The sequence below is a fragment of the Homo sapiens genome, chromosome 13, assembly GCF_000001405.40.
Source record: "Homo sapiens chromosome 13, GRCh38.p14 Primary Assembly".
NCBI classification, from domain to species: domain Eukaryota; kingdom Metazoa; phylum Chordata; class Mammalia; order Primates; family Hominidae; genus Homo; species Homo sapiens.
The window spans coordinates 79872302-79899488 of NC_000013.11; the positions used below are offsets into that span (position 1 = coordinate 79872302).

At 40.0% G+C, this 27187-nt stretch overlaps 1 long non-coding RNA gene across 1 annotated transcript in view, besides 1 other annotated feature; it reads left to right on the plus strand.

Moving 5' to 3' along the window:
- The first annotated feature begins 284 nt into the window (after positions 1–284).
- The window catches only part of LINC00382 (long intergenic non-protein coding RNA 382), a 45451-nt gene continuing 18548 nt past the window's right edge, over positions 285–27187 (plus strand). Inside the window, exon 1 of the long non-coding RNA NR_120413.1 lies at positions 285–395. This is a non-coding gene — a long non-coding RNA (long intergenic non-protein coding RNA 382). The remainder of the gene's footprint in view (positions 396–27187) is intronic.
- Positions 10541–11041: an enhancer, noted in NCBI's record as "H3K27ac hESC enhancer chr13:80456977-80457477 (GRCh37/hg19 assembly coordinates)". NCBI's record gives its function as "activates a minimal SCP1, AML or CMV promoter by ChIP-STARR-seq in naive H9 embryonic stem cells {active_cell/tissue: H9 hESC(naive)}" and the evidence as "EXISTENCE:reporter gene assay evidence [ECO:0000049][PMID:30033119]".

Below are 27187 nucleotides of genomic sequence, written 5' to 3' on the forward strand. Positions count from 1 at the left end.
AGCATGTTGGGACAGCCTTGAACTTCATTCTCTATGCCTCAATTTCCTCATCTGTAAAATACTAATAATAGGACTATCTTATTTATGAAGAATTAACTGTGTTTGTCAGCCAATGATAATAATGCTTGTCATAAAGTAAGGGCTGACAAAATGTAGCTGTGCCGATTATTCTCTTCTATATGTTATTCTGCAGCTATGGTTTATGGGTGCAAGAGGTAGTTACTTATCCCCTCCCTGGAATCTTTCTGTGGAATGTCTATTGTGACCCCATTATTCATTTCTGTTTGGATGGTTGGCCTCTTGGTTACAAGCATGTACATTATGGCTCTCTCCTTGCCTGGAACTGGATATGAGAAATGCTTGAATTAAGATCTGTGAATTATCTTATTTTCTTGGTAAAGTGGGATTGATTTTATTCCAAATAATATTTGTTTGTTTTCTAAGAGAGGAAACTTCTGGCCTCAGTTTCCTTAGATAGGTTTGAATCTTGCTTGGTGTTTTTAATCACTGAAGAGAGATTGAGTTTATTTCTCTGGAACAGATTTTGGTTTATATTCTGAAGTTTTAATTTCATTTGGAAGCTGTAGGCTGAATGATTATCACTTTATAGTAAGTGTATTGGCAGGGGAAGCTGGCTGCTACCGTAACCCCCTACCCTCAGTGGCTTATCACGCTGACTTTTGTTTTTTGCTTTTAGCACAGTTGGGTGAAAATGAGGATGGCAGTTCTGCCACTATCCAGAGCCTCTGACACCCTCTCAGTCCACAGAGTCCTGCAATGGACTTTTTGCATGTGATTAGCAGATGCAGGAAGAAGACAGTATGCCAGGTGCAGGGCCAGCTTTGTAGGCCGCACTGGACAGAGCATGTACCTCTTCTGCCCATGGTCCGTGGTACAGAACTCATCACAGGGCAGCACCTAACTGCAAGCAAGGCTGGGAAATGGAGGCCAGTAACGTGCTCAGAAAGACAAAGGAAATGGCTGGTGAACAACTAGTTACTGCCAAAGCAAGATAGTTAGTTAAACCAATTTTTATATTATGGAACATTTCTGTGATATAATACATGCAGACCTGGAAGTTACAAGAATAGTAACATGAGTACTCAGTTTGAGAAATAATATATTACCAATGCAGTTGATGTCTTCTATTACATATGCCTCTTCGCCTCTGCTTGCATCTCCTTCTGTGTTGCTCAGGAGCAAACACTATTTTATCAGTTTTTTGGTTATCATCTTATGACAGATATATTTATGCCCATAGGTTAACATTTTTTGTTATTTTCAGTCTTTATACAAATGGTGTCTATTGAATGTATTCTTTGGTGAGTTTTTCACTCATCTTTATAATTCTGAAATTCATTCATGTTGACTTGTGTAGTTGTAACTCATCCATTTTTACTGTTGTACGGTATTCCATTTGTTGGAATAATCACAATAGAATCATTCAGTTTCCTGGGCATTTGGGTTACTTTCAGGATTTTTTTCTTTTTGCAAGCAATGCTGCTATGAATATTTCTGTACATATCTCTTCATATATATTTGTAAATTACTCTAAGGTATGAATCTTGCTGCTATTACCAGAATACCACTCTATTAAAATTGTATGCAGTAGTATGTCTTTTTTAAGGACAAGTTAATAATTTAGATTTCCATTTACTCTTCCTAGGTTGGTGTGAGTGTGTTGCTATTGAGTGCTGGCTTCACGGAGTGTGAACGAAGTCAGACTAGAATATTTTAACTCCATAGATCCATTATATTTCTTTGATTTTTGAAGAAAATTTTGAAGATAATTTTAAAAGTCATAGTTGTACTTCTATTAGCTATCTCACTTTGTGCAATGTGGCTAAGTTATTTTGGGGGGATTCTATGTTATGTTCGTGGCATATCACTTTTCTGATGTGTAGAGTTCTGTGTGACAGAGCTAGATTTATGTCAGAGATAAGAGAGTCTCCTGAATTATTTTTTCTCCCCACTGACTAGTTAAGTGAATTTCCAAATTCCTAACCTTATTCTTGTGATTTAAGGCTTTATTTCCTTTTAAAAACCAAATTGTCCTTCTGACAATACATAAAGAATAAGCAAACTAATCATTTAAGAAAAGCAGAAATCATCTTAATTCCAGAATCAGAAAAAATTGTGTCCAAGACTCACAAATGGAGATAATTTGATGGGAAAAATAATGTTTTTAGTGGCATCATCATAGCAAATGACAGGGTGACTTTCACAGGCCTGTTTGTGATAGTGCCGCCTACCCAGGCAGATGGCACCACCCGATGTGTTGTTGAGTCACAGCTGTCTCTCAGTGGGATAAATCTATGAGTTTCACATTAGAGTAACCTTCCTATAGCCCAGAAGAAGGGCAGTGTTTTTCATAATAAGAAAAAGAAACAGAGAAAAATTAGACAGTCTCCTAAATAAGAGTCATGGAGCAAAAACACCTATTATTGTAGCACAGCCTGATGAAGTTTTGGCACATGGCTCATTCCTCCAACACTGATCTTGTCATTCAACATAAATTTCTGGTTTCTTGCTCACATGACTCAGAGTTGCATATACCTAGAATTTGCCTTCACGGGGAAATCCTTTCAAGGCTTACAGGCCTAACGTATCTGGGGCAGGCCATGGGGAAGACTGACATTTTAAACCACATGTTTATTAAATTATATGTTTGAAAAAAACTCCTGCAATTTTAAACCGCATGATAGTGCAGGGATTTATTTTTCATTTATAAAATTGTGTTATTGTAATAATTTTTCTTTGAAAGGAGATGAGACAGAGTGAATAGGGAATTTCTCAACTCCTTTTTGCAATTTGCTCCCTAGCTGTGTTACTCAGTCCTTTGGCTCTTCAGAATCTATTTGTAGCTAGATATCCTAGTGGCCTAAAAGACAAAGTGCTAGCACCCAGCAGTCAACAGCTAAGGCTTTAGGGCCCAAATACCTGGGTTTGAATCCTAACTGTGTCAACTTCAGCATGGTCCCAAGTCTATCTGTGCCCTCAGTTTTTTTAATTTGTAAAATAGAGATGTTCATACTAATATTTAATTTTTAGTGTTTCAATAAGTATAGCTCAACAAACCAATAAACCCTGTTACATTATTCTCCTCCTCAACAAATATCAGCAAGTCTACTCTCTGCCAGACACCATGCTAAGTGCTGGTAATATAAAGATCTTATTATTGCCTTGGGAAAGAGCATCTAATAGTTCAGTGAAGAGACATTTTCTGTAGAGTAAAAAATGCATTCATATTTCAGGAGTTGCCATGCTTGTGTTGGCACACTATTTACTTTCTTCACATCACCCTAAATCCTCCATAATTGTTTTTTGTCTTACTCTAATACCAAAGACTGGGTGGCTTACAAACAACAGAAATTTTTCTCTCACAGTTCTGGAGGCTGAGAAGTCCAAAAATCAGTGCACTGGCAATTCTGTGTGTGGTGAGAGCTGCTTTCTTATTCATGGATGGTGCCTTCCAGCTGTGCCTTCACATGTTAGATGGGGTAAGGGGTCTCTCTGGGGCCTCTTTGATAAGGGCACTAATCCCATTTATGAGTGCTCCACATTCATGACCTACTCACCTCCCAAGGACCCTACCTCCTAATACTATCACATTGAGGATTAGGATTTTGGTGGAGGGGGACACAACCATTTAGACCATGGCAATTTTAAACAGTGTTTTTTATATATGTATATTTTTACTACAAACATCCTTTCTGTAAATTAAGGTAAAGAGAAATAAATCTATCTTCATTATGAGATTCTTTAACTTCATTTAGGCTCTCTGAGGTCCGACTGAGTTGTGACAGAGGCAGGTGAGGACTGAAAGCCCAGAAGGGATTCAAGTCAGATGCGTAGAGGGCCCTTGGTCTTGGCAAGTTCTTGAGCCAATAAAAGAAGAAGTTTTCCAACATCCCTGCCACTTCATTCAAGCACTGAGGAAGAACATACTTCTGTCTCATCTCTTCCCACTGGGTGATATGACCTATGTTTCCCATTTGGGTGAGTTTAATATGTTCAAGGTCACCCTTCAAATGTGACCTGTGACCATTTACCCTCCTGGGAGCTCCTGCTTATAACTGTAGGCATTGCCCTCTCCTCTGAGCCTCCCTGAGGAAGCTCTGTTCTGCAGAAAGGACAGACAGAGGGGATGTACCTAGAGTTATTCAGCTGCTGTGTTGGTGACCAACTCAGGGTAGTAGGACTAGGACACCCAATTTGACCTCAAGCCCAATCTATCCTAATACAACTTTACCAGTTTGGATGCCTAAGCAAATCATATGTCTGTTTCTCTATTGACACAAAATCCAGCAGAAAGAGGCCTGTAGTGAATTGGCCCCTCCAGTCCCTAGGTTGTACTCTCTATTTTGCCATTTACCAGTTCTGTTACCTTAGGTAACTTATTTTACTCTCTAGACTATAATAACGACAGTGTATTCATTTCCTATTGCTGCTATCACAGATTGCCCTGGACTTAGTGGCTTCTAATAGCACACACTTATTGTCTTACGATTCTGAGGATCAGAAGTTCAACACATGTCTTATTGGGATAAAAGCAAGGTTTTGGCAGGACTGTATTCTTTCTGGAAGGCTCTAGGGGAGGATCTGTTTCTTTCCCTTCTCTAGCTTCTTCTAGAGGCTACCTGCATTCCTTGGCTTGTGGTCCCTTCCACTGTCTTCAAAGCCAGCAGCATAGCATCTCCAGACCTTGTTCCTACTCTGACACTTCTGCCTCCCTCTTAGAAAGACCCATTTGGTTATACTGGGACCATCCCAATAATCTAGGATAATTTTTCCATCTCAAGATTCTTAACTTAATCCCACCTATAAAGTAAAGTCTCTTTTGCCACATAAAGTAACATTTTTACAAGTTCAGGGATTAGGACATGGACATCTTTGATGGGGAGAACGTTATTCTGCCTTCCATAGAAAGTATGACTGGATAATTTCTAAATTATTTTCTACTCATATATATATTACTATAAATTAGGTTTGCAGATCTTACGATTTTTCACACTCTCGTGTCCTCGTAAAAAGATAGGTTACTTCAAACCTAAATCCTTATGTTACCCTCTCCATCTTCGCCCTTTTTTCACCTTCTCTTTATTCCTGCAGAAACCCATTAATAACTACTTTCCTCTATACAGATCTTTGATTCACTATTTAAACTCAGTATTAGAAACAAATCCAGCTTCTAATTTACTCATGCCCCTTCTGTTGTTTAAATAATATTTATTTAGTCTGATATGCTCTTTGCAGTTTAAATATTATTCTTTGCTGATATTTTATCTCATCAAACCTGCTTATTCACAAGTGATGGAAAAATGACTTAGCCACCCTACCCATCCCCCTTTCTCTATATAGTAAGGGTAGTTTAATCTAGTGAAATCTTAAGGATTAAAGAAATATACATTTTATGTAGAATACTCAACTGGGTTTTAGGACCAGAAATATGAGGTAGCATGTACCCTGCCATCTAGCTAAATACTTGCAAAATACTATAGTAGAGCTTCACTGTTCTGAAGACATTTGCAGAGTGCTTCTGGAATTAGCAAATTGCTAGAGCTTGTTTCCTTCTTACTACTTCTCATTGCATTGTTTGCCTTACTATAAAATCATCAAATGGAATTTCAGAAACATCAACATATGTTTTATTTTTTTCTGACTCTTCTCATCAGGAAAGAACCTCATTTTTAAACAGCTGTTTTCCTGATTTTGTCTTGGTTGATGCAATGCTTTTTAAACTGTGGATGAAATAAGGGGATGGGAAGTGTCAAGAATGCTGATATTTTATCAGGCCCTTATTTAGGCATTTATGAAGAAGACGGTGATTACTTATTCATTCCCAAATTCTCTACCTCCCATTTAAGTAAGTGTCTGCCTGCTTCGCTAATTGTTAAATAATGAAAAGACCCACCCCTCAAAAGATTCTTTGAAAATGTAGCAACTATGGTGATGACTAAATTTCTTCAAGTGACACCTGGAAAAAGAAAGTATTTTGTTTCTCTTTGCTATGAGAGCACAATTTTCAGACCTTTTCAATGGGGCTTGAATTTCACTGTGGCTCTTCAAAGAGCTGCTATTATTTTGGGCTACTTCTGGCAATTGCCATGAAAATGATAAACTGCTAAGGCCTGAAGGCTTGACACAAACTGTCACTAGCAATGTGTGTTTGTGTGTGTGTGTGTGTTTGGCTATCAGCTTTGATGTGCTAATTACATGTTACCTTGTTCCTTAGTCCTTTTCCTTAACATTTGCATAAAATCAAGGTAAAAAGCATGCCATAGGCATCCTTGCAGGAATTCATCATCTTGAAAGGAAGAAGGATCCTTCCAACCGTATTTTTCTTAATCAGGGCCACCCCTTAGGTGTGCAAAGCCTGAGGCAAATATTTATTTTTTGTAGCACCTGTGTCTGTATAAACACTATTAAAAATTAGTACAATATTCATGAGGTCATGCATAGTGCCTTATAAATGAAGTTTTGGAATAATAAGAGAAGATGTACTTACGCATTTGTTTATTGTCCAGTCAGAGCCTGTGAGGATTCTTCGCAGTGGTCAGGCACCACCTTGTCATGTTCTTAATTGTTTTTTTGTTTGTTTGTTTGTTTGTTTTTTGAGACAGAGTCTCGCTCAGTTGCCCAGGCTGGAGTGCACTGGCGCTATCCTGGCTCACTGTAACCTCCACCTCCTGGGTTCACGCCATTCTCCTGCCTCAGCCTCCCGAGTAGCTGGGACTATAGGCGCCTGCCACCTTGCCTGGCTAATTTTTTGTATTTTTAGTAGAGACGGGGTTTCACCGTGTCAGCCAGGATGGTCTCGATCTCCTGACCTTGTGATCCGCCCACCTCAGCCTCCCAAAGTGCTGGGATTACAGGCATGAGCCACCGTGCTTGGCTTATGTTCTTAATTGTTAAATGTAATAAGGTACATTTATTACCTTATACCGAGAGTAAGGTAGCAATAGTGCCATTGTTCACAATGCCATGGCCATGGCTCTCTGGACACTATTTGTGCTAAAATAATGTTGACCTTTTTGCCTTTGAAACTTCCCAGTACCATTTACTTGATGTTGGTGGCATCATTTCTCATGACCTGTATTATTCACCCCACTGTCCACAAATCCTGGCTTCCAGAGATTCTCTCAAAGGTAGATATGAGGCTTCATTGATAGCCACAAATACAAAACTTGTTCAGAGTACACAGAAAATGTGAACAATAGTCCATATTCCAGTCATCTTGAATTTATTGTGTGGATTTCTGTAGCATAAACATAGCACAAATACACCTTCCATCCATGTCTCCTCTTGAACTCTTTAGGCCATAATCACTGCATTCCTAGATTGTGAAACCTTTCAATGTTGATGAACAACGTGGCTCTCACACACGGCTACCACCAAGGGCCAGAAATGGAGAGAAAGGGGGAATAGGTGGAGAGAGAAAAGTGATTCTTGGAAGCAAAGTGTATTCCTTATCCAACATGGTTTGAGGTTAACCCAGAGAGCACCTTGTCACCATATGGATGGGAAGGGCCCTTTGGCACTGGGGAGCAATGAATGTCCTAGGAAGAGATAGGCGCAGCTGTCCTGGAGGGATACCTGTCACATGGTGCATAGCGGAAAAGGGTGGGGTGACCATCCTGAGTGCCAGTGTGGGGATGGAGAGGGATCTACCTATTAAAGAATGCCCACCCCACCCCACCAACCTAAGGTACTCTAGACCCACATGCAGACAGCCCACAACACACACTGTTCAAGCCCCAGGGTTGGCCCAAAGTATGACTTGTCCTTTGTTTGTTGTGAATAAAAGTCTGTCCAAATCAGCATGTCAGTAGTACTCTTCTGGTAGTTCAATTACCATACTGGATGATGAAAATGATCCACTTGCTTACAACAATGTCCCAGCCATGGAACTTCAAGAACACTGCATAGGTACAACTCAGGGCATCTGGTCAACTTCACTTTTAGGAGAGGTGGATTATTGGGGTTAGAAGTTTGGAGAGCACCTCAAAGGAAAGGAACAGAAACAGGGTCATGACCAAGACTCCTGGGTCTTGACCAAAGCTTGGGGCATATGGCTCCTGCTGGTTCCAGGCAGAAGAAGGAGACTTGGATGAAAAAACTGAGGATGGTACTTTAAAGAACAGGACCCCCTTGAAATGCAGCAGCAGTCCTACTTCCTTGTATCTAATGGCTTTAAGTGATAACGGAAGTGTGTACGTGGGGGTTAGACTGATTATATGGGTGTGAATTTTTATTTATTTTAGTACTAACTGGCTGGTTGCATTCTCCTTCCCTCTGTCATCTGTCATCCATCCATCAAGCAGTAACTGACTACCTTTGATGTGCCCAGCAGGGTCAACTTATCCATTAAGCACTAAGGCCAACTCTTAGGGGCCCAGAAAAATGCTCTAATTGCTTTTATGAACACAAGAAGAAAATGAACTTTTAGGTCCAAGAACATGTTGTAACATATAATATTAAACTATTCATCTTTATACCAACAGTCACAAGGTATATTTTAAAATATCTTTTATGGAGGAAAAGTCCCACCAAGGCTAAAATGCCCAAAGCCTAGGGAGATCATAATGGAGCCCTGGTGATCTGCCCCACGCTAGAGGCTGGGGCTGCAGCACTGAGCAGAAAGCAGTCCATGGGTGTTGGAGGAAGATGGAAAAGAACACAGGAAGTTACATTACAATGTAATGCATTATTGCAACAGAGTTAAGCCCAGGGAACTTACAAATAGGCCTGTAGCAAGGTTGGCGGTTGGCAGTGGATGTGTCTTTGCAAATCAGTGATGGGTTGGAGGCAATTGCCTCATTGCTTTATACTGTATAGCCAGTCCACTAGGGTTTTATCTATTATTCTTGTTATTGATGCAGATGATGATCCAAGCAAATTATGGGCAATTATTAAACTCAGCTACTGGTAGAGATTTAACTTTGATACTGGCTGCTTTGAAATATAAGCATCCCGTCTGAAAGCACTTTGAAATAATTGAGAAATATATAATAAATGTACATAAAACTTGCTACCTGGCTGTGTTCATGATTACTTCCAGGTTCTTCAAGCTATCCAAATCAATGGTAATCCTAACATACTATATTTGAGCTGTTGAGACTGGAATAGACACCTCTAAGTGATGCCTTTTTAAATACCAACCAGGGTAATGATCTCATTACCTCTCAGCCTAGTCCACAAAGGACAACTTTGTATTTTAGTAAGACTTTTTTGTGACTTTTTACTATAAAATAGTAACAATAATAGAAACAAAACCTTCTGTACATTTGTTTTGCCATAACAGGTAACAAGGCTGATATGGTTTGGATTTGTGTCCCTGCCCAAATCTCATGTTCAGTTGTAATCCCCAGGGTTGGAGGTGAGGTCTGGTAAGAAATGGTTGGATCACGGGGGCAGTTTCCCATGGTTTAGCACCCCCTTGGTACTGCATAATGAGTGAGTTCTCATGAGATCTGGTTGAGTGTGTAGCATGTTCACCCTCTCTCTCTTATTCCTGCTTCAGCCATGTAAAACATGCTGGCTTCCTCTTTGCCTTCTGCCATGATTGTAAGTTTCCTGAGGCCTTCTCAGAAGCTGAGCAGAGCCATCATGCTTCTTGTACAGCCTGTGAAACTGTAAGCCAATTAAACCTCATTTCTTCATAAACTATCCAGTCTCAGGTATTTCTCTATAGCAGTGAGAGTGCTAATACAAATGCTAATATATACGCCTCATTAGTTTGCATGACTCATTAGTTTGGGTCATATTTGATAATACCCAAGTTTCTTTCAAACCATAAAAGTTTAATTTATTTACATTTTATTTAATGAATGCAGGCACTCAGCAAAAGTTATGTACTTCATTCAGCAAGTGAACATTTACTGAGCATTCACTATTGTGCCAGACACAATACCACTTTACCAGGTACTGGGGATATTTAAGCAACACACAGCCCTTATCCTCAAAGGACTCATGATTTAGGGGAGGTTGTAGGCAAGAAAAACAGTGGTTATGAAACGGGAAAGGTTCCCTTGTCCTCCTCGCAGGGCGTGGGCTGGGGGTGTGGCTGGCTTCTTTAGTCCCCCGCTGCCCAAACCTCTAGGAGAACATACAGACGGGCAGGCTATGGGGCTCCGACCCCACGGCAGTGTCTAGGGGTGAATGTTTACAGCTTCTGAAGCCTCAGTGGGCATGTGTTACCGGATGCTCTCTTAGTTTGCCGTCTATAGGTGGCTTGTGTTAACCAGCTCAATTAGATCCTCTACCTTGTCCCAAGGACAGAGGGCCTTCTGTATCCCAGGTTCCTGCCTTGGTGTACCAGAAGAATTGGGTCACATGTAGGCTTGGAGAATTAGTATGAAGTTTTATTGAGTGGAAGTAGCTCTCCGCTGATGGGGGAGCCAGAAGGCAGATGTTTTTTCTCTGGAGTTGGGCTGCTTAACACCTGGCCCTCCTCCAACTGCCCTGGCCAAACTCTGCCACATCCCGTAGGTCGACAGCCTGCTGGCTTGCCGGTGTCTGTCAGTGTGCTCTTCCACCAGCATGCTCCCTCTACATCCCCTAGCCATCCAGCCACTTGTGTCTTCTGCTGTTGTGCTCCTCTTGACATCTGGTCACCTGTGTGTCTGCCTGCTAGGGTCTTGGGTTTTTATAGGCCCAGAATGGGGTCATGGCAGGCCAGGGTGGTCTTGGAAACTGCAACATTTGGGCAGGAAGGCAGGAGTGCCTGTCCTCACCTAGGTCCATGAGGGTGGAGCCCTAGCAAGGGACCCACATTTCTCTACCCAGCACTTCCCTGCCTCCCTTCTGTATCAGTTACAATTACTGTTATGGTTACCTTCAATGGCTGATAGACCTTCCACTTAAAGTTTGGTTTGGATATTGAGATTTCTGATGCCACATACTAACAGAGAGGGTATGAAATGATTAATTACTTGCAAAATTGAGATCTCTGAGGTGAGAAAAGCAGGGCTTTCAATCAGGTCTAAAATGACTTAAGGGCAAGGAAAGGAGGCTGGCTCTAGGTTTTTGTTGTGATTCCAAAATGAGGCTGGAATCATGGGCTTTTGTGGCTTGAATCTCCCACTGACATCAAAGGGAACACCAGGTTTCCTTATCAGCTTGTCCAGATACTTGGCACCAGGAGGTGAGGAAAGAGGGCTTTCAGCATCAAATGCCAAAAACATGGAGTAAGTCTCCTCTTTATAAATGCAGTGTGATCAGAAGTTCTATAAGGGAAGTTTGCAAAGGGTGCTTACCTCACATGGACATTTAACTCAGTCTTGGAGGGTTCAAATCCTGTCCCTGGAGAAAAAATGCTCTTGAGTTGCTTCACAAAGGGTGAGAGGAAGGGGGAGAGGAAGAATGAGAGGATGTTCATCATGAAATTTAACTCAAGGCAGGACGTTCGAGGTGGAAGGTATTGTATTTGAAGCACCAAAGGGTGAAAGTGCAGAGTACCTGAGGTTGGAGTGAATTTATAGGATAGGTAACATGTAGTGTTACAGCAGTAGATGCACCTAAAAGGTATGAAGTTTGAGCTTCATTCTGAGGATGAAGGAGAATCATTGTAGAGTATTCATCAGATTTGCATTTTGAAAGGTGACTATTCTATTTAGAAGGCTACCTGAGGTTAAACAAGAAGGGAAGACAAAATCTATGAACTGTGAGAGATATACGACTTGATCAGTTAACCTCTTGATAATTGCAGTCTCAATTTAAGCGGTTGTTCTCTTAGTTTAAGTGGTTGTTCTCAACATAGTCTTACTGTCTTTCTAGTAAAGGTGCATAGTGAGGGGCAAGGAAGGAGATGGAGGTAAGAAAGTTTTGGTCAATCTTTTCAAGCAACAGATACCTCTATGCTCTCTCAACTATTCTGATACAACCCCTAGGGGAAGGAATTTTCTGTGTTTTGAAAAAACAAAAACCTGCCAGGATGATTTGGTTTTATGTCAATCTCGTCCTAGCAAAGAATTACTGAGTTAATAAAGTAAAGCTCTGAGAGTGAATTTCAGGCTTAGGTCTGGTGGGGACAGGGTATTGAGCTGGAGGATGGAAGGGGACAATGAATACCTGTTACACTGTAATGCTTTCCTGGAGTATTGCAATCACAGAAAAGCAGGCTCTCTAGAGTGGGTATAAAAAATAAGAGACTTAGCCCCAGTTCTTTAGAAATGCTCAATTTAGTGGAGGAGGACAGAAGAAAGAAAAGACAGAAAAGAAAGAAAGAGAGAGAGAGGGACCGAAAGAAAGAAAAAGAAAGAAAGAAAGAGGGGAAAAAAAGAGAAAATACAGAAAAGAGAAGTAGAAAGAAAATGAGATCTGAAATTGTCAAGAGGGCCTGGACCCTGAAGGGAAATTAAGGAAAGCAAAATCCTGATGTGTTCATGTCACTAGACTCCCTTCCTCCTATTTTTGACATGAGAACTAAAAAAACCTTCAAGACATTTGAGAATGGGAGACAAATACTAATCAGATATTTTATAATATGTAGCCATAGTTTCCTAACCAGGTTCCCTTAAAACGTTCTCAGCCAGTGGTCTTTGTTTTCTGCCCACATTTCAGGTAGGTCTCCTGGAAATCTTTGTGCAACACTGGAATTAGCTGCCATCGAACCATGGGCTCTGTGCTGTTGGAGCCAAGAGAAAAGAGTAATAAGAGTTGGAACTGGTCTGCTGAGCAAAGGCTCCTTTTTTTCAAAGCAGGAGGCTGTGGAGTTGGGGGAGGGGAGTTTGATTAAAGGAAGAAAACCTTCTGTGACCAAGGCAACCAGAGGGCCCCCAAAAGCCTGTGGGAGCCTGGGGGAAGAGGCATGAAGTCCTGTAGATTTGTTACATCAAGATGTTAATGTTTTTAATCAAGGTTCCTAGGTGACCCTCAGGCAATTAACTCATGGTCCAGTTGTCCTATTATGTATCTTCAGCTGATTCTTCTCTTTGTATATTCTCTTCTCTTTTCCCGACCACCACTACTAAATTTGAGAAGTGGTTATGAGGTGCTACATCAGCATTAATTTAATCCTAGTACTTAATTCATTTCTTTCTCTTTTGTAGCTGATTGAAAAAAGGAGGAAGTTATTTCAATCAAGGTTTTATCCTTTTGAGAGAAGGATAATTTAAATATGTGAAACATGATATTTCTAAAACCAGGGAAAGTAGCCTTATGAAATAATTCTGACCATATGAATGAGTCCACATTTCATTGTCATTACCAGGTGCACACAACAAGAGCTGAACTAGCTTTCTACTTTATTTATTTATTTATTTATTTGAGACAGAGTCTCACTCTGTTGCCCAGGCTGGAGTGCAGTGGTGTGATCTCGGCTCACTGCAAGCTCTGCCTCCTGGGTTCACGCCATTCTCCTGCCTCAGCCTCCTGAGTAGCTGGGACTACAGGCACCTGCCACCACTCCTGGCTAATTTTTTTTTTGTATTTTTTTTAGTAGAGATGGCATTTCACAATGTTAGCCAGGATGGTCTCCATCTCCTGACCTCGTGATCTACCCACCTCGGCCTCCCAAAGTGCTGGGATTACAGGCGTGAGCCACCGGGCCTGGCCGAGCTGAACTAGCTTTCTAGATCAATATTCATTCAAGTGATTATAGGAAAATGGTTATAAAAGTACTGATTTTAAAAATTATAATTTTGAGAGCATAATTGCAAATATATGCCTTAATAGTAGTAGACATTATTTTTAAGATTACGTGAATTTGAGAACAAGGTAAATTGACAGCTGGTATTTTACCATGCAGGTTGATACGAAAGTTTGAACTGAAAATAAAAGTCCACAAAAATATAGGTAAGGAAGTATTTAATAAAATGGCACTTAAATAGAAGAAACATATTTTGCAACTCAACTTCCTGTTTAACACTATTCTTGAAATATTTTACATTGCATTCTCTTACCCTCATCTAGTACTATTTAAATTTTTGCTCATCAATTCGTTTGTGGGATATTGGTTCATTAGGAGACACGATTAATTGCATATTACCGATGATTCATCAGGGCAAATGTGTTTCATTAATGCAACAGAGTACTGTGAATATGGCCAGCACAAAAAGTACTCAAATATTCACAGAAAATTTAAAAATATATGTTGAATAGGACTGCCAACAGAACAGACTTGACCCATTAGGGAGGATTTATAGTGTCAGGTCTTAACATTTACAGTGTTAGACTTTCAGCTAAATTTCTAGGAGTTAAGTTTTCCAGAGGAGATGACACCCAGGCACTGTGGCAATATGCTTAAAATTAGAAGGAATAGCTGTCCATTCATTGCTGCTGTCTCCAGAATTTCTATGGAACATGGTGGCTCGCCTGCTGCCTTCCAGGCAAATTCCTGAAGATAGTTCACTTTATAGCTCTGATTTTGTCAACTACAGAAGAAAATGGGAAGGAGAAGTAAAGAACGGTTCTTCTTGGTGATAAGTGTTCTGTTTTTCATGACATTGCTCACTGTGGTTTGAATACTTTTTCTAGGAAGAGTGACAGATTTGCACAGGTGTAGCTATACTCCTTCAACTGTCTTCCTTATTGCTAATCGTGATTTATGAGTTAGCTTTTCTAAGGTTTGGGAAGGCATCTGTGCTGTATCTTACAGTGGGCCTAAGGATCCAGGCCTATTTACTATCTGACTGTAATTTTACCCTCTGTATGCTTTCTTCCTTGATGGAAAAAAACTGGTATAAATTATCCACCATTTTTCACTGTTAAATGTATGTATTAGGGAGGGCATTCCACAATGGCAGAATAGGAACAGCTCCGGTCCACAGCTCCCAGTGTGATCAACGCAGAAGACGGGTGATTTCTGCATTTCCAACTGAGGTACCTGGTTCATCTCATTGGGACTGGTTGGACAGTGGGTCCACGGAGTGCATTGCGGTGGACAGTGCAGCCCATGGAGGGTAAGCTGAAGCAGGGTGAGGTGTTGCCTCACCTGGGAAGCACAAGGGGTTGGGGGATTTCCCTTCCCTAGCCAAGTGAAGCCGTGACAGACTACCTGGAAAAGCGGGCACTCCCCGCCCAAATACTGCACTTTTCCCAGGGTCTTAGCAACTGGCAGACAAGGTGATTCTCTCCTGTGCCTGGCTCGGCAGGTACCATGCCCATCGAGCCTTGCTCGCTGCTAGCACAGCAGTCTGAGATCTATCTGCTAGGTGGCAGCCTGGCTGGGGGAGGGGCGTCTGCCATTGCTGAGGCTTGAGTAGGTAAACAAAGGGGCCGGGAAGCTTGAACTAGGTAGAGCCCACCCCAGCTCAGCAAGGCCTGCTGCCTCTAGGCTCCACCTCTGTGGGCAGGGCATAGCTGAACAAAAGGCAGCAGACAACTTCTGCAGACTTAAACATCCCTGTCTGACAGCTCTGAAGAGAGCAGTGATTCTCCCAGCATGGTGTTTGAGCTCTGAGAACAAACAGACTGCCTCCTCAAGTGGGTCCCTGACACCCATGTAGCCTAACTGGAAGACACCTCCCAGTAGGGGCTGACAGACAACTCTTATAGGTGGCTGCTCCTCTGGGACGAAGCTTCCAGAGGAAGGATCAGGCATCAATATTTGCTGTTCTGCAATATTTGCTGTTCTGAAGCCTCCATTGGTGATACCCAGGCAAACAGGGTCTGGAGTGGACCTCCAGCAAACTTCAACAGACCTGCAGCTGAGGGGTCTGACTGTTAGAAGGAAAACTAACAAACAGAAAGGAATAGCATCAACATCAACAAAAAGGTCATCTACACCAAAACCCCATCTGTAGGTCACCAACATCAAAGACCAAAGGTAGATAAAACCACAAAGATAGGGAAAACCAGAGCAGAAAAGCTGAAAATTCTAAAAATCAGAACACCCCTTCTCCTGCAAAGGATCACAGCTCCTCAGCAGCAACAAAACAAAGCTGGACAGAGAAAGACTTTGACAAGTTGACAGAAGTAGGCTTCAGAAGGTCAGTAATAACAAACTTCTCCGAGCTAAAGGAGGATGTTTGAACCCATTGCAAGGAAGCTAAAAACCTTGAAAAAAGATTAGACAAACGGCTAACTAGAATAAACAGAGTAGAGAAGAACTTAAATGACCTGATGGAGCTGAAAACCATGGCACGAGAACTTTGTGATGCATGCACAAGCTTCAGTAGCTGATTCAATCAAGTGGAAGAAAGGATATCAGTGATTGAAGATCAAATTAATGAAATAAAGTGAGAAGACAAGGTTAGAGAAAAAAGAGTAAACAGAAATGAACAAAGTCTCCAAGAAATATGGGACTATGTGAAAAGAACAAATCTACATTTGATTGGTGTACCTGAAAAAGATGGGGAGAATGGAACCAAGTTAGAAAACACCCTTCAGGATATTATCCAGGAGAACTTCCCCAACCTAGCAAGGCAGGCCAACATTCAAATTCAGGAAATACAGAGAACACCACCAAGATACTCCCCGAGAAGAGCAACCCCAAGACACATAATTGTCAGCTTCACCAAGGTTGAAATGAAGGAAAAAGTGTTAAGGGCAGCCAGAGAGAAAGGTCGAGTTACCCACAAAGGGAAGCCCATCAGACTAACAGCAGATCTCTTGGCAGAAACTCCACAAGCCAGAAGAGAGTTGGGGCCAATATTCAACATTCTTAAAGAAAAGAATTTTCAACCCAGAATTTCATATCCAGCCAAACGAAGCTTCATAAGTGAAGGAGAAATAAAATCCTTTACAGACAAGCAAATGCTGAGAGATTTTGTCACTACCAGGCCTGCCCTACAAGAGCTCCTGAAGGAAGCACTAAACGTGGAAAGGAACAACCAGTACCAGCCACGGCAAAAACATGCCAAATTGTAAAGACCATCGATGCTATGAAGAAACTGCATCAACTAACAGGCAAAATAACCAGCTAACATCATAATGACAGGATCCGATTCACACATAACAATATTAACCTTAAATGTAAATAGGCTAAGTGCCCCAATTAAAAGACAGAGACTGGCAAATTGGATAAAGAGTCAAGACCCATCAGTGTGCTGTATTCAGGAGACCCATCTCACATGCAAAGATGCACATAGGCTCAAAATAAAGGTAATGAAGGAAGATCTACCAAGCAAATGGAAAGCACGAAAAAGCAAGGGTTGCAATCCTAGTATCTGATAAAACAGACTTTAAACCAACAAAGATCAAAAGAGACAAAGAAGGCCATTACATAATGGTAAAGGGATTAATTCAACAAGAAGAACTAACTATCCTAAATATATATGCACCCAATACAGGAGCACCCAGATTCATAAAGCAAGTCCTTAGAGGCCTACAAAGAGACTTAGACTCCCAAAAAATAATAATGGGAGACCATAACACCCCACTGTCAATATTAGACAGATCAGCAGGACGGAAGGTTAACAAGGATATCCAGTACCTGAACTCAGCTGTGTACCAAGCAGACCTAATAGACATCTACAGAACTCACCACCCCAAATCAATAGAATATACATTCTTCTCAGCACCACATCGCAGTTATTCTAAAACTGACGACATAATTGGAAGTAAAGCACTCCTCAGCAAATGTAAAAGAACAAAAATCACAACAAATTGTCTCTCAGACCACAGTGCAATCAAATTAGAACTCAAGATTAAGAAACTCACTCAAAACCGCACATCTACATGGAAACTGAACAACCTGCTCCTGAACGACTACTGGGTAAATAACGAAATGAAGGCAGAAATAAAGATGTTCTTTGAAACCAATGAGAACAAAGACACAATGTACCAGAATCTCTGGCACATATTTAAAGCAGTGTGTAGAGGGAAATTTATAGCACTAAATGCCCACAAGAGAAAGCAGGAAAGATCTAAAATGGACACCCTAACATCACAATTAAAAGAACTAGAGAAGTAAGAGCAAACACATTCAAAAGCTAGCAGAAGGCAAGAAATAACTAAGATCAGAACAGAACTGAAGGAGATAGAGACACAAAAAACCCTTCAAAAAATCAATGGATTCGTGACCTGGTTTTTTGAAAGGATCAACAAAATTGATAGACCACTAGCGAGATTAATAAAGAAGAAAAAGAGAGAAGAATCAAATAGATGCAATAAAAAATGATAAATGGGATATCACCACCGATTCCACAGAAATACAAACTACCATCAGAGAATACTATAAACACCTCTACGCAAATAAACTAGAAAATCTAGAAGAAATGGATAAATTCCTGGACACATACCCTCTCCCAAGACTAAACCAAGAAGAGGTTGAATCTCTGAGTAGACCAATAACAGGCTCTGAAATTGAGGCAATAATTAATAGCCTACCAACCAAAAAAAGTCTAGGACCAGACAGATTCACAGCCAAATTCTACCAGAGGTACAAAGAGGAGCTGGTACCTCCTTCTGAAACTATTCCAATCAAAACATTCCTTCTGAGGCTATTCCAATCAATAGAAAAATAGGTTATCCTCCCTAACCTATTTTATGAGGCCAACATCATCCTGATACCAAAGCCTGGCAGAGACACAACAAAAAAAGAAAATTTTAGATCAATATTCCTGATGAACATTGTTGTGAAAATCCTCAATACAATGCTGGCAAACTGAATCCAGCAGCACATCAAAAAGCTTATCCACCACGATCAAGTTGGCTTCATCCCTGGGATGCAAGGCTGGTTCAACATATGCAAATCAATGAACATAACCCATCACATAAACAAAACCAATGACAAAAACCACATGATTATCTCAATAGATGCAGAAAAGGTCTTTGACAAAATTTAACAGCCCTTCATGCTAAAAACTCTCAATAAACTAGGTACTGATGGAATGTATCTCAAAATAATAAGAGCTATTTATGACAAACCCACAGCCAATATCATACTGAATGGGCAAATCTGGAAGCATTCCATCTGAAAATTGGCACAAGACAAGGATGCCCTCTGTCACCACTCCCATTCAACATGGTGTTGGAAGTTCTGGCCAGGGCAGTCAGGCAAGAGAAAGAAATAAAGGGTATTCAATTAGGAAATGAGGGAGTCAAATTGTCCCTGTTTGCAGATGACATGATTGCATATTTAGAAAACCTCATTGTCTCAGCCCAAAATCTCCTTAAGCTGATAGGCAACTTCAGCAAAGTCTCAGGATACACAATCAATGTGCAAAATCAGAAGCATTCCTATACACCATTAACAGACAAACAGAGAGCCAAATCATGAGTGACCTCCCATTCATGATTGCTAAAAAGAGAATAAAATACCTAGGAATCCAACTTACAAGGGATGTGAAAGATCTCTTCAAGGAGAACTACAAACCACTGCTCAATGAAATAAAAAAGGACACAAACAAATGGAAGAATATTTGATGCTCATGGATAGGAATAATCAATATCGTGAAAATGGCCATACTGCCCAAAGTAATTCATAGATTCAATGCCATCCCCATCAAGCTACCAATGACTTTCTTCACAGAATTGGAAAAAACTACTTTAAAGTTCATATGGAACCAAAAAAGAGCCTGCATAACCAAGGCAATCCTAAGCAAAAAGAACAAAGTTTGAGGCATCATGCTACTTGACTTCAAACTATGCTACAAAGCTACAGTAACCAAAACAGCATAGTACTGCTACCAAAACAGAGATATAGACCAATGGAACAGAACAGAGGCCTCAGAAATAACACCACACATCTACAACCATCTGGTCTTTGACAAACCTGACAAAAACAAGCAATGGGGAAAGGATTGCCTATTTAATAAATGGTGCTGGGAAAACTGGCTAGCCATATGTAGAAAGCTGAAACTGGATCCCTTTCTTACACTTTATACAACAATTAATTCAAGATGGATTAAAGACTTAAATGTTAGACCTAAAACGATAAAAACCCTAGCAGAAAACCTAGGCAATACCATTCAGGACATAGGCATGGGCAAGGACTTTATGACTAAAACACAAAAGCAATGGCAACAAAAGCCAAAATTGACAAATGGGATCTAATTAAACTAAACAGCTTCTGCATGGCAAAAAACACTACCATCCTAGTGAACAGGCATCTTACAGAATGGGAGAAAATTTTTTACTATCTACCCGTCTGACAAAGGGCTAATATCCAGAATCTACAAAGAACTCAAACAAATTTACAAGAAAAAAACAACCCCATCAAAAAGTGGGCAAAGGATATGAACAGACACTTCTCAAAAGAAGATGTTTATGCAGCCAACAGACACGTGAAAAAATGCTCATTATCACTGGTTATCAGAGAAACGCAAATCAAAACCAAAATAAGATACCATCTCATGCCAGCTAGAATGGCAATCATTAAAAAGTCAGGAAACAACAGATGCTGGAGAGGATGTGGAGAAATGGGAATGCTTTTACACTGTTGGTGGGAGCGTAAATTGGTTCAACCTGTGGAAGACAGTGTGGTGATTCCTTAAGGATCTAGAACTAGAATTACCATTTGACCCAGCAATCCCATTCCTGAGTATATACCCAAAGGATTATAAATCATGCTACTATAAAGACACACACACACATATGTTTATTATGGCACTATTCACAATAGCAAAGACTTGGAACCAACCCAAATGTCCATCAATGACGGACTGCATTAAGAAAATGTGGCACAGATACACCATGGAATACTATGTAGCCATAAAAAGGATGAATTCATGTCCTTTGCAGGGACATGGAAGAAGCTGGAAACCATCATTCTCATCAGACTATCACAAGGACAGAAAACCAAACACTGCATGTTCTCACTCATAGGTGGGAACTGAACAATGAGATCACTTGGACACAGGGCAGGGAACATCACACACTGGGGCCTGTCAGGGGGTGGAGGCCTGGGGAACCGATAGCATTAGGAGAAATACCTAATGAAAATGTTGAGTTGATGGGTGCAGCAAACCAGCATGGCTCGTGTATACCTATGTGTCAAACCTGCACGTTGTGCACATGTACCCTAGAACTTAAAGTATAATAATAAAAAGATTAAAAATAAATAAATGAATAAATGTAATCACAACTGCTTTGCAAAGTTGTCATTAGGATTAGATATAATATTGCAAGGAGCACAATGGGCTTTTAATACATGGGGACTACTGTTATTCAAAATTCATCAGTCTTCTATTATTTCAGTTTAGATTACTGAATTTTATTCCATCAAATGGATATCAGGGACAGATGGAGTTGTGGATTAGAATCAAAGATTGGTAGTGCCAGAAGGGATCTGAGAGCACCCAGTCTATTCAATCTATGACCTTTAAGCAGATAAAAAAACTGTAGCTCGAGCTCATTGTGTCTTATCCTAGATACCATGTAGAAAAATATTACTTACACATGATATTTAGTACAAGACATACATTGTAGTAAAATAAAATGAAATAATTATTATAATGTTAACAATATTTAACATTATTAAAGCAATAATTGTATTTTTATTATCATAGTGAGGATCGGTGGGAGACCTAGGAATGGAAATTAGTCCTTAAATCTTCCATTTCAAATTTCTTTCCATAGAAGCAAAAGTTCTTAAATGGGAATAATGATGTAACATTCCAAATCAAATCAATCAAATCAAAATGGACAGGGGTAGTATTCACCTACTCTTTTTCATACAGCTTTTTGTGAATTTAAATTCATGGGAAGTAAATTTGGTTCAAATTGCTTACATTTCATATCTACCTAAAGAGTATATCTTTCCCTAGGAAAGTGTTCTAAAAAAAAAAAAAAAGGAAAGCTAATGTTAGCCCTATGATTTTACCAAATTTGGGAAGAAAATATATGCTGCAATTTTTATAGCATACATTTGTTGCATTATAAATGTATTTTGTAGGCTTGAAATCACAAATTCATATTTTTGGGTCCCTAACAATACTTTGCTATAATAAAGTGAAAATGATTAGACAATATATATATATATTTATATATATATATGTATCAGATTTAAAATTACTTTGTCCAACAAGGAAATTTTGTTGTAATCCCAGAGTTGGGTCTGAGGAAAAGCCAGGTCTATGAAAACAATCAGACATGGGCTCTGAAAGAAATAAGGTTTGACCAATTGTGACCATCCACTCAATTATTTCAAATAATGTCAGATCATCTTAGGTGGATTATTGAAATAATCTGATTGGTCTGATCATGCCAAATAAAAAAACTGGGAATCCCAAGTGTCTGAAATTTGGATGTCTGAAATATAGTTAATAAAACATAAAAATAATGAAGTCAATGCTATTTGTTGAAAATATTATTAAACTTCAGTCATAAAAATTACCTTTAATTATACTAAAATATATTGCATTTTGGCTTGTAGCCTCAATAGGGTTTTTTGTTTCAGTTTAAGTTTGAAATATGCTACATGAATTGGAGCTCAATTAGTATTTATTCAATGAAATAGTGCACACCTGGTAATAAATATAATGACTTTGGATGCATTTACAGAATAGATGAATCAGTACTATCTTTAGTAAGTTGTCCTTATTTTATTAGCCTTGCTATGCCTTTTTCCTGCTTTTAACCCCTTCTCCATTCTTACTCTAAACACTATTCTTTGAATATTTAAAAAGTGTGACTATTCTGAGAATCGCTAGTCTATGTCGTCAGGTAAAACATATTTTTTGACCTAGCTGGCATTATCCTATGCTAATATAACAGTGTTGCTAACATTCTTGCTATTTCATTAATAAACACTTCACTAATTCTTTCTATTAATCATGAGTTCATGGAAAGGGAGTGTGACATCTGATCTCTTGAGATGGTCCATAGGCCAGAGTTGGTGCTTGCTTCATTCTACTTCAGATCATGTCAGCTGTGAGTGAGGAGGCTAGTATTTTTTTTCAGTTTACCCAGCATAGGACCTCTCTGTGTCTTCCTGTTCTGATAAAGAAGAAACAAGGAGTATAAACTTGCCCACTGGACACAATTTTGTGCGTGTGTAGTTTAGCAAAATTCACAGACTACCCATCAGAAACCATACACTAGGTGTTCATTCTTCTGATGATGGATGTAATTTAATATTTGTCATTGAATCACAAAAATGGGGTAATTTGATAGATAATGAAATAAAATAGTCTTAATGCCTCTGTCTTCTCAATCTTCCACAAAAGCGGAAGGAGAAAGGAGGCATCAAGCAACATTTTATTTTGCTTATGTATTTTGTGGATTAGGAATTCAGACAGCACAGCAGAGATAGCTTGTTTCTGCTTCACCTGTCGGAAGCTTCAGCTTGGGAAGATTTGAAATACGGGGCATAAATCAAACCGTGAGAGGCTACATTCATCTGGAGGCTTCTTCACTTACATGTCTGGCACCCGGGCTGACATGACCTAAAGGCTGGGCTCAGATAGTTTTATCAAACAGAGCTCTGACACATGGGCTGTCCATGTGGCTCGAGCTTACTCTCAGCATGGTAGCCTCTGGGTAGCTGACCTTATGAATGTGCATTCCAGCAAAAAAGATGGCAGCTGCATGGCCTTTTGTGACCTAACCTTGGAAATCACTTCTGCTATATTGGTCAACACTGGCACAAGGCCACTAAGATGCAAGCGGAGAAGAACAGATTTGATTTCTTGATGAGAAGTTTGTCGTGGAATTCTGGTCTTGCCTTGAAAGTGCACCAGAAGGCATAGGTTTTCTCTGAATCAGCTTCATTCAGGTGTCATGGATAGCACTCAGATTGTTTACTCCATGATTCTTTGGTGACTCTATTTCAATGTGCATAGACCCTTTTCATTCTATGTGAGATGAACACTTTACTGACACAAGAGAGATAATGAAAGACTAAATTTTGCTGAGTGCTGACTGATTATATGTTTTGTCCTTATCCCCACTAAACTCATATTAGCATTACATACACCTAATCTATTCTGGGACTAGTGGCGTCTTTGAACCCCTTGGACATGTTTCTTTCCAGGGTCACTGAGCTTTTGAAGACTGCATTAGTCTGTTTTCACATTACTATAAAGAAATACATGAGACAGCATAATTTATAAAGAAAAGAGGTTTAATTGGGTCATGGTTCTGAGGCTGCAGCATGATGCTGGCATCTGCTCAGCTTCTAGGTAGGCCTCAGCAAACTTACAGTCATGGTGGAAGACAGAGGGAGCAGGCATGGCACAGGGCCAGAGCAGGAGAAAGAGAGTGAGAGGGGAGGGGCTACACACTTTTAAACAACTGGATCTCATGAGAACTCACTATCACAAGGACAGCAACAAGGGGATGGTACTAAACCATTCATGCGAAATCTGCCCCCATGATCCAGTCACCTCCCACCAGGTCCCATCTTCAACACTGGGGATTACATTTCAATATGAGATTTGAATGGGGACACACATCCAAATCATATCAGAGAGGATCTGACTTGATTGGATCAGTTTCCTCAAAGACTCTCTGTCTCCAACCAGATAACTGTATCAGACCACCATCCATGAGGAAAGATTCTCAGAGATTCTCTCACAGAGCCCTTGTCCATTATTGAGAACAAAAAAATTAGGATCCAGAGGATGAAAAAGAACTCAAATTTGTGCTTCTGTAATAAGCGTGGATTAACATAAGAATAGCAGATTTATGCATACCTAAAGTGTCAAATGCTTTATGAGAAGATGTGGGGCCTTCTAAGGAAGAGGATAAAGTTTTTGTCCTTGAAGGAACTTACCATCTTATGCAAAAGGTAGAAAAGTACATGCATCTTCTCAAGAATGTGCAGCCACTGCAGAAATATGTAAAATTAAACACACCATGGAAACATACAACTAGGTATAACCATACTTAATAGCTGAGCTGGAATGCATGAACAATTAGAGCGAGGTGGTATTAACAACAAGGAGTGCTCAGTAGTGAAGGTGCTCTTAAGGGGAGGAAATGGATTCCATAAAGATGAGATAAAGAAGGCATAGTAAGAAGGAAACCCGGAGGTCTCCCTAGGTTTCAGAGAGGTTGAGATAGTTTGAGTTCTACTTTCAGAGAGGTGTGCTTTTTGACTACATTGAAATTTTGATTCTAATTCTAGCTGCCTAGAAATATATTCCACCTAATATATTTCCTCCTACCAACTCTCTCCTCCATCCAGCTACCAAGATCATAGATTTCATGACAGCAAGCCCCCTGCATCACTAGCCTTGGTGTCTTCTGCATAATCTAGAATAATACTTTAGTGGAGGATGTGACAGGTACATTTTAATGGAATTGAATTACCTTGAGCAGACTTAGCCCTTGATACCTCATGACCAGCCCACACCTTGTTAGATGTCTATTTCCTGTGTTCCTAGGACTTCCCTGGGATTATTTTATTAGTAATAATATTATTGTAGTTTTTGAGACAGGGTCTCACTCTGTCATTCAGGCTGGAGTGCAGTGTTGCGATCTCAGCTCACTGAAACCTCCAGCTCCTGGGTTCAAGAGAATCTCGTGCCTCAGCCTCCCAAATATCTGGGACTACAGGCGTGCACCACCATGCCCAGATAATTTTTGTACTTTTAGTCGAGACAAGGTTTCTCCACATTGGCCAGGCAGGCAGGTCTCCAATTCCTAAACTCAAGTGATCTGCCTGCCTTGGCCTCCCGAAGTGCTGGGATTACAGGCATGAGCCACCATGCCTTGTCACTCTGGGGTTATTCTTGCATCTGCTTTATAATCAGAACTCTTTCCATAAAACGATGCTGTTCCTTTGGCAACCTACACAGCTGATTTCATTGAGCAGTCATATTATGCTAGTTATACTCTATTACTCTTTTGGGCATACCAGTTTTTGTTGAATGAGCTCAGGGCCTAAGCCAAATGTAAAATGTGTGTGTGTATATATATATACACATATATTTGCATGCATGTATGTGTGTATATATAAGTATATACAGATATGTAGATATCTGTTTTCAAATACTCTTAGAAAGAAAGGCCCCATCTAGATTTCATAATTATTTCTCCCTCTCCACACTTAACACATTTTTGTTTTTAGCATTTCCTTTTCTCATTTCCTGTTGACATAGTTCTAGGTTTCAAGGCTTATTTATTCTCCTTGTGCATGTACATTTCATACATTTCTAATCTGAAAGCTTCTGTCATTCTCAAGGAGGCAAAGCTAATGAAAACTCACATCATCATGGTGCACAGGCAGAACTAGCCCACAGAAGCCCTGCTTGTTGGTCAAAGCTGGTCCAAGACTCCTTTTGCCAAGATACTGCTGCTGCTACTAATCCCCTCCTAGCTCCTTGGAGTACAGCCCAGAAAGGACAGGTTAGTTTGGGCCCTGACAAGGTTATCAGAAAAGCCCCAACACCAAAGACTAAAAATCTGACACTCACAATCCTCACAATGAAGTCAACACAAAACAGAAAGTGATCCTGTTCTTGTAATCTTAGCTCTGCCCAGGTCACCATCTTGCCTGGCTGGTTTTGTTGATGCCAGCATAATGTGACACAGATTCCAAAGGCACAGCCATTTCCAGGACCACAGGGTGGTGGATTATATAACCAAGCTGGGTAGTGTCAGGTTTATCAAAGGCTGATAACTAACAACTCGCAGCTACTTGTCTTGGCCAAAAATGAGGCGGAGTGAAACAGCTCAAAATTCTGCACAGTCAAATTGAACACATAGTTTATTATAATTTATTTTCTATGCAAAATCTATAGGTCATTTAAAATTCTTTCCTTAATACTCTTTATCAGCTGTGCATCTCAAAGCTGATGATGGTACAGGAAACAATTGTGTAATAAGACCCCTAAAATGGTACGAATGTTTGAGTAGATAAAAGGGCCAGCAGTTGGTGAATTAGCAACCTGAATTCAAATTTTAAATTATGTAACCTCAGGATATACAGGTGATAGAAGACAAAGCACCAAATATTTAAACAGGAAAAAGTAAAGGTTACATTTCAATCAGTAATGCAATCATTTATTTAAGATGCAGAGGGTCATCAACTCAGCCACCAATACTTATGACTTGAGAATGTTGAGTTCTATGACTCACCATGGGAAGGATCTGGGTTTCAACTTGTGTCTAAAAGGGAACATTTATTTTAAAATTTTCCCATTCTTTACCCCACATTGGCCTGATAATCTGTATTGTGGCTTACAGAATCTTACAGACAAAGTTGAAGTGAGAGAGAAAGCGAAGAATGGGCACATAAAAGGGAATTTGCCCAGATCTAGTCCTGAAAGACCTACAAGATCCTGCATTTTTTTCAGGTTTTTCACTAATTTTAAAGACTCTGAGAAGTCTTAATCTAGATCCAGGCTCAGGTAAA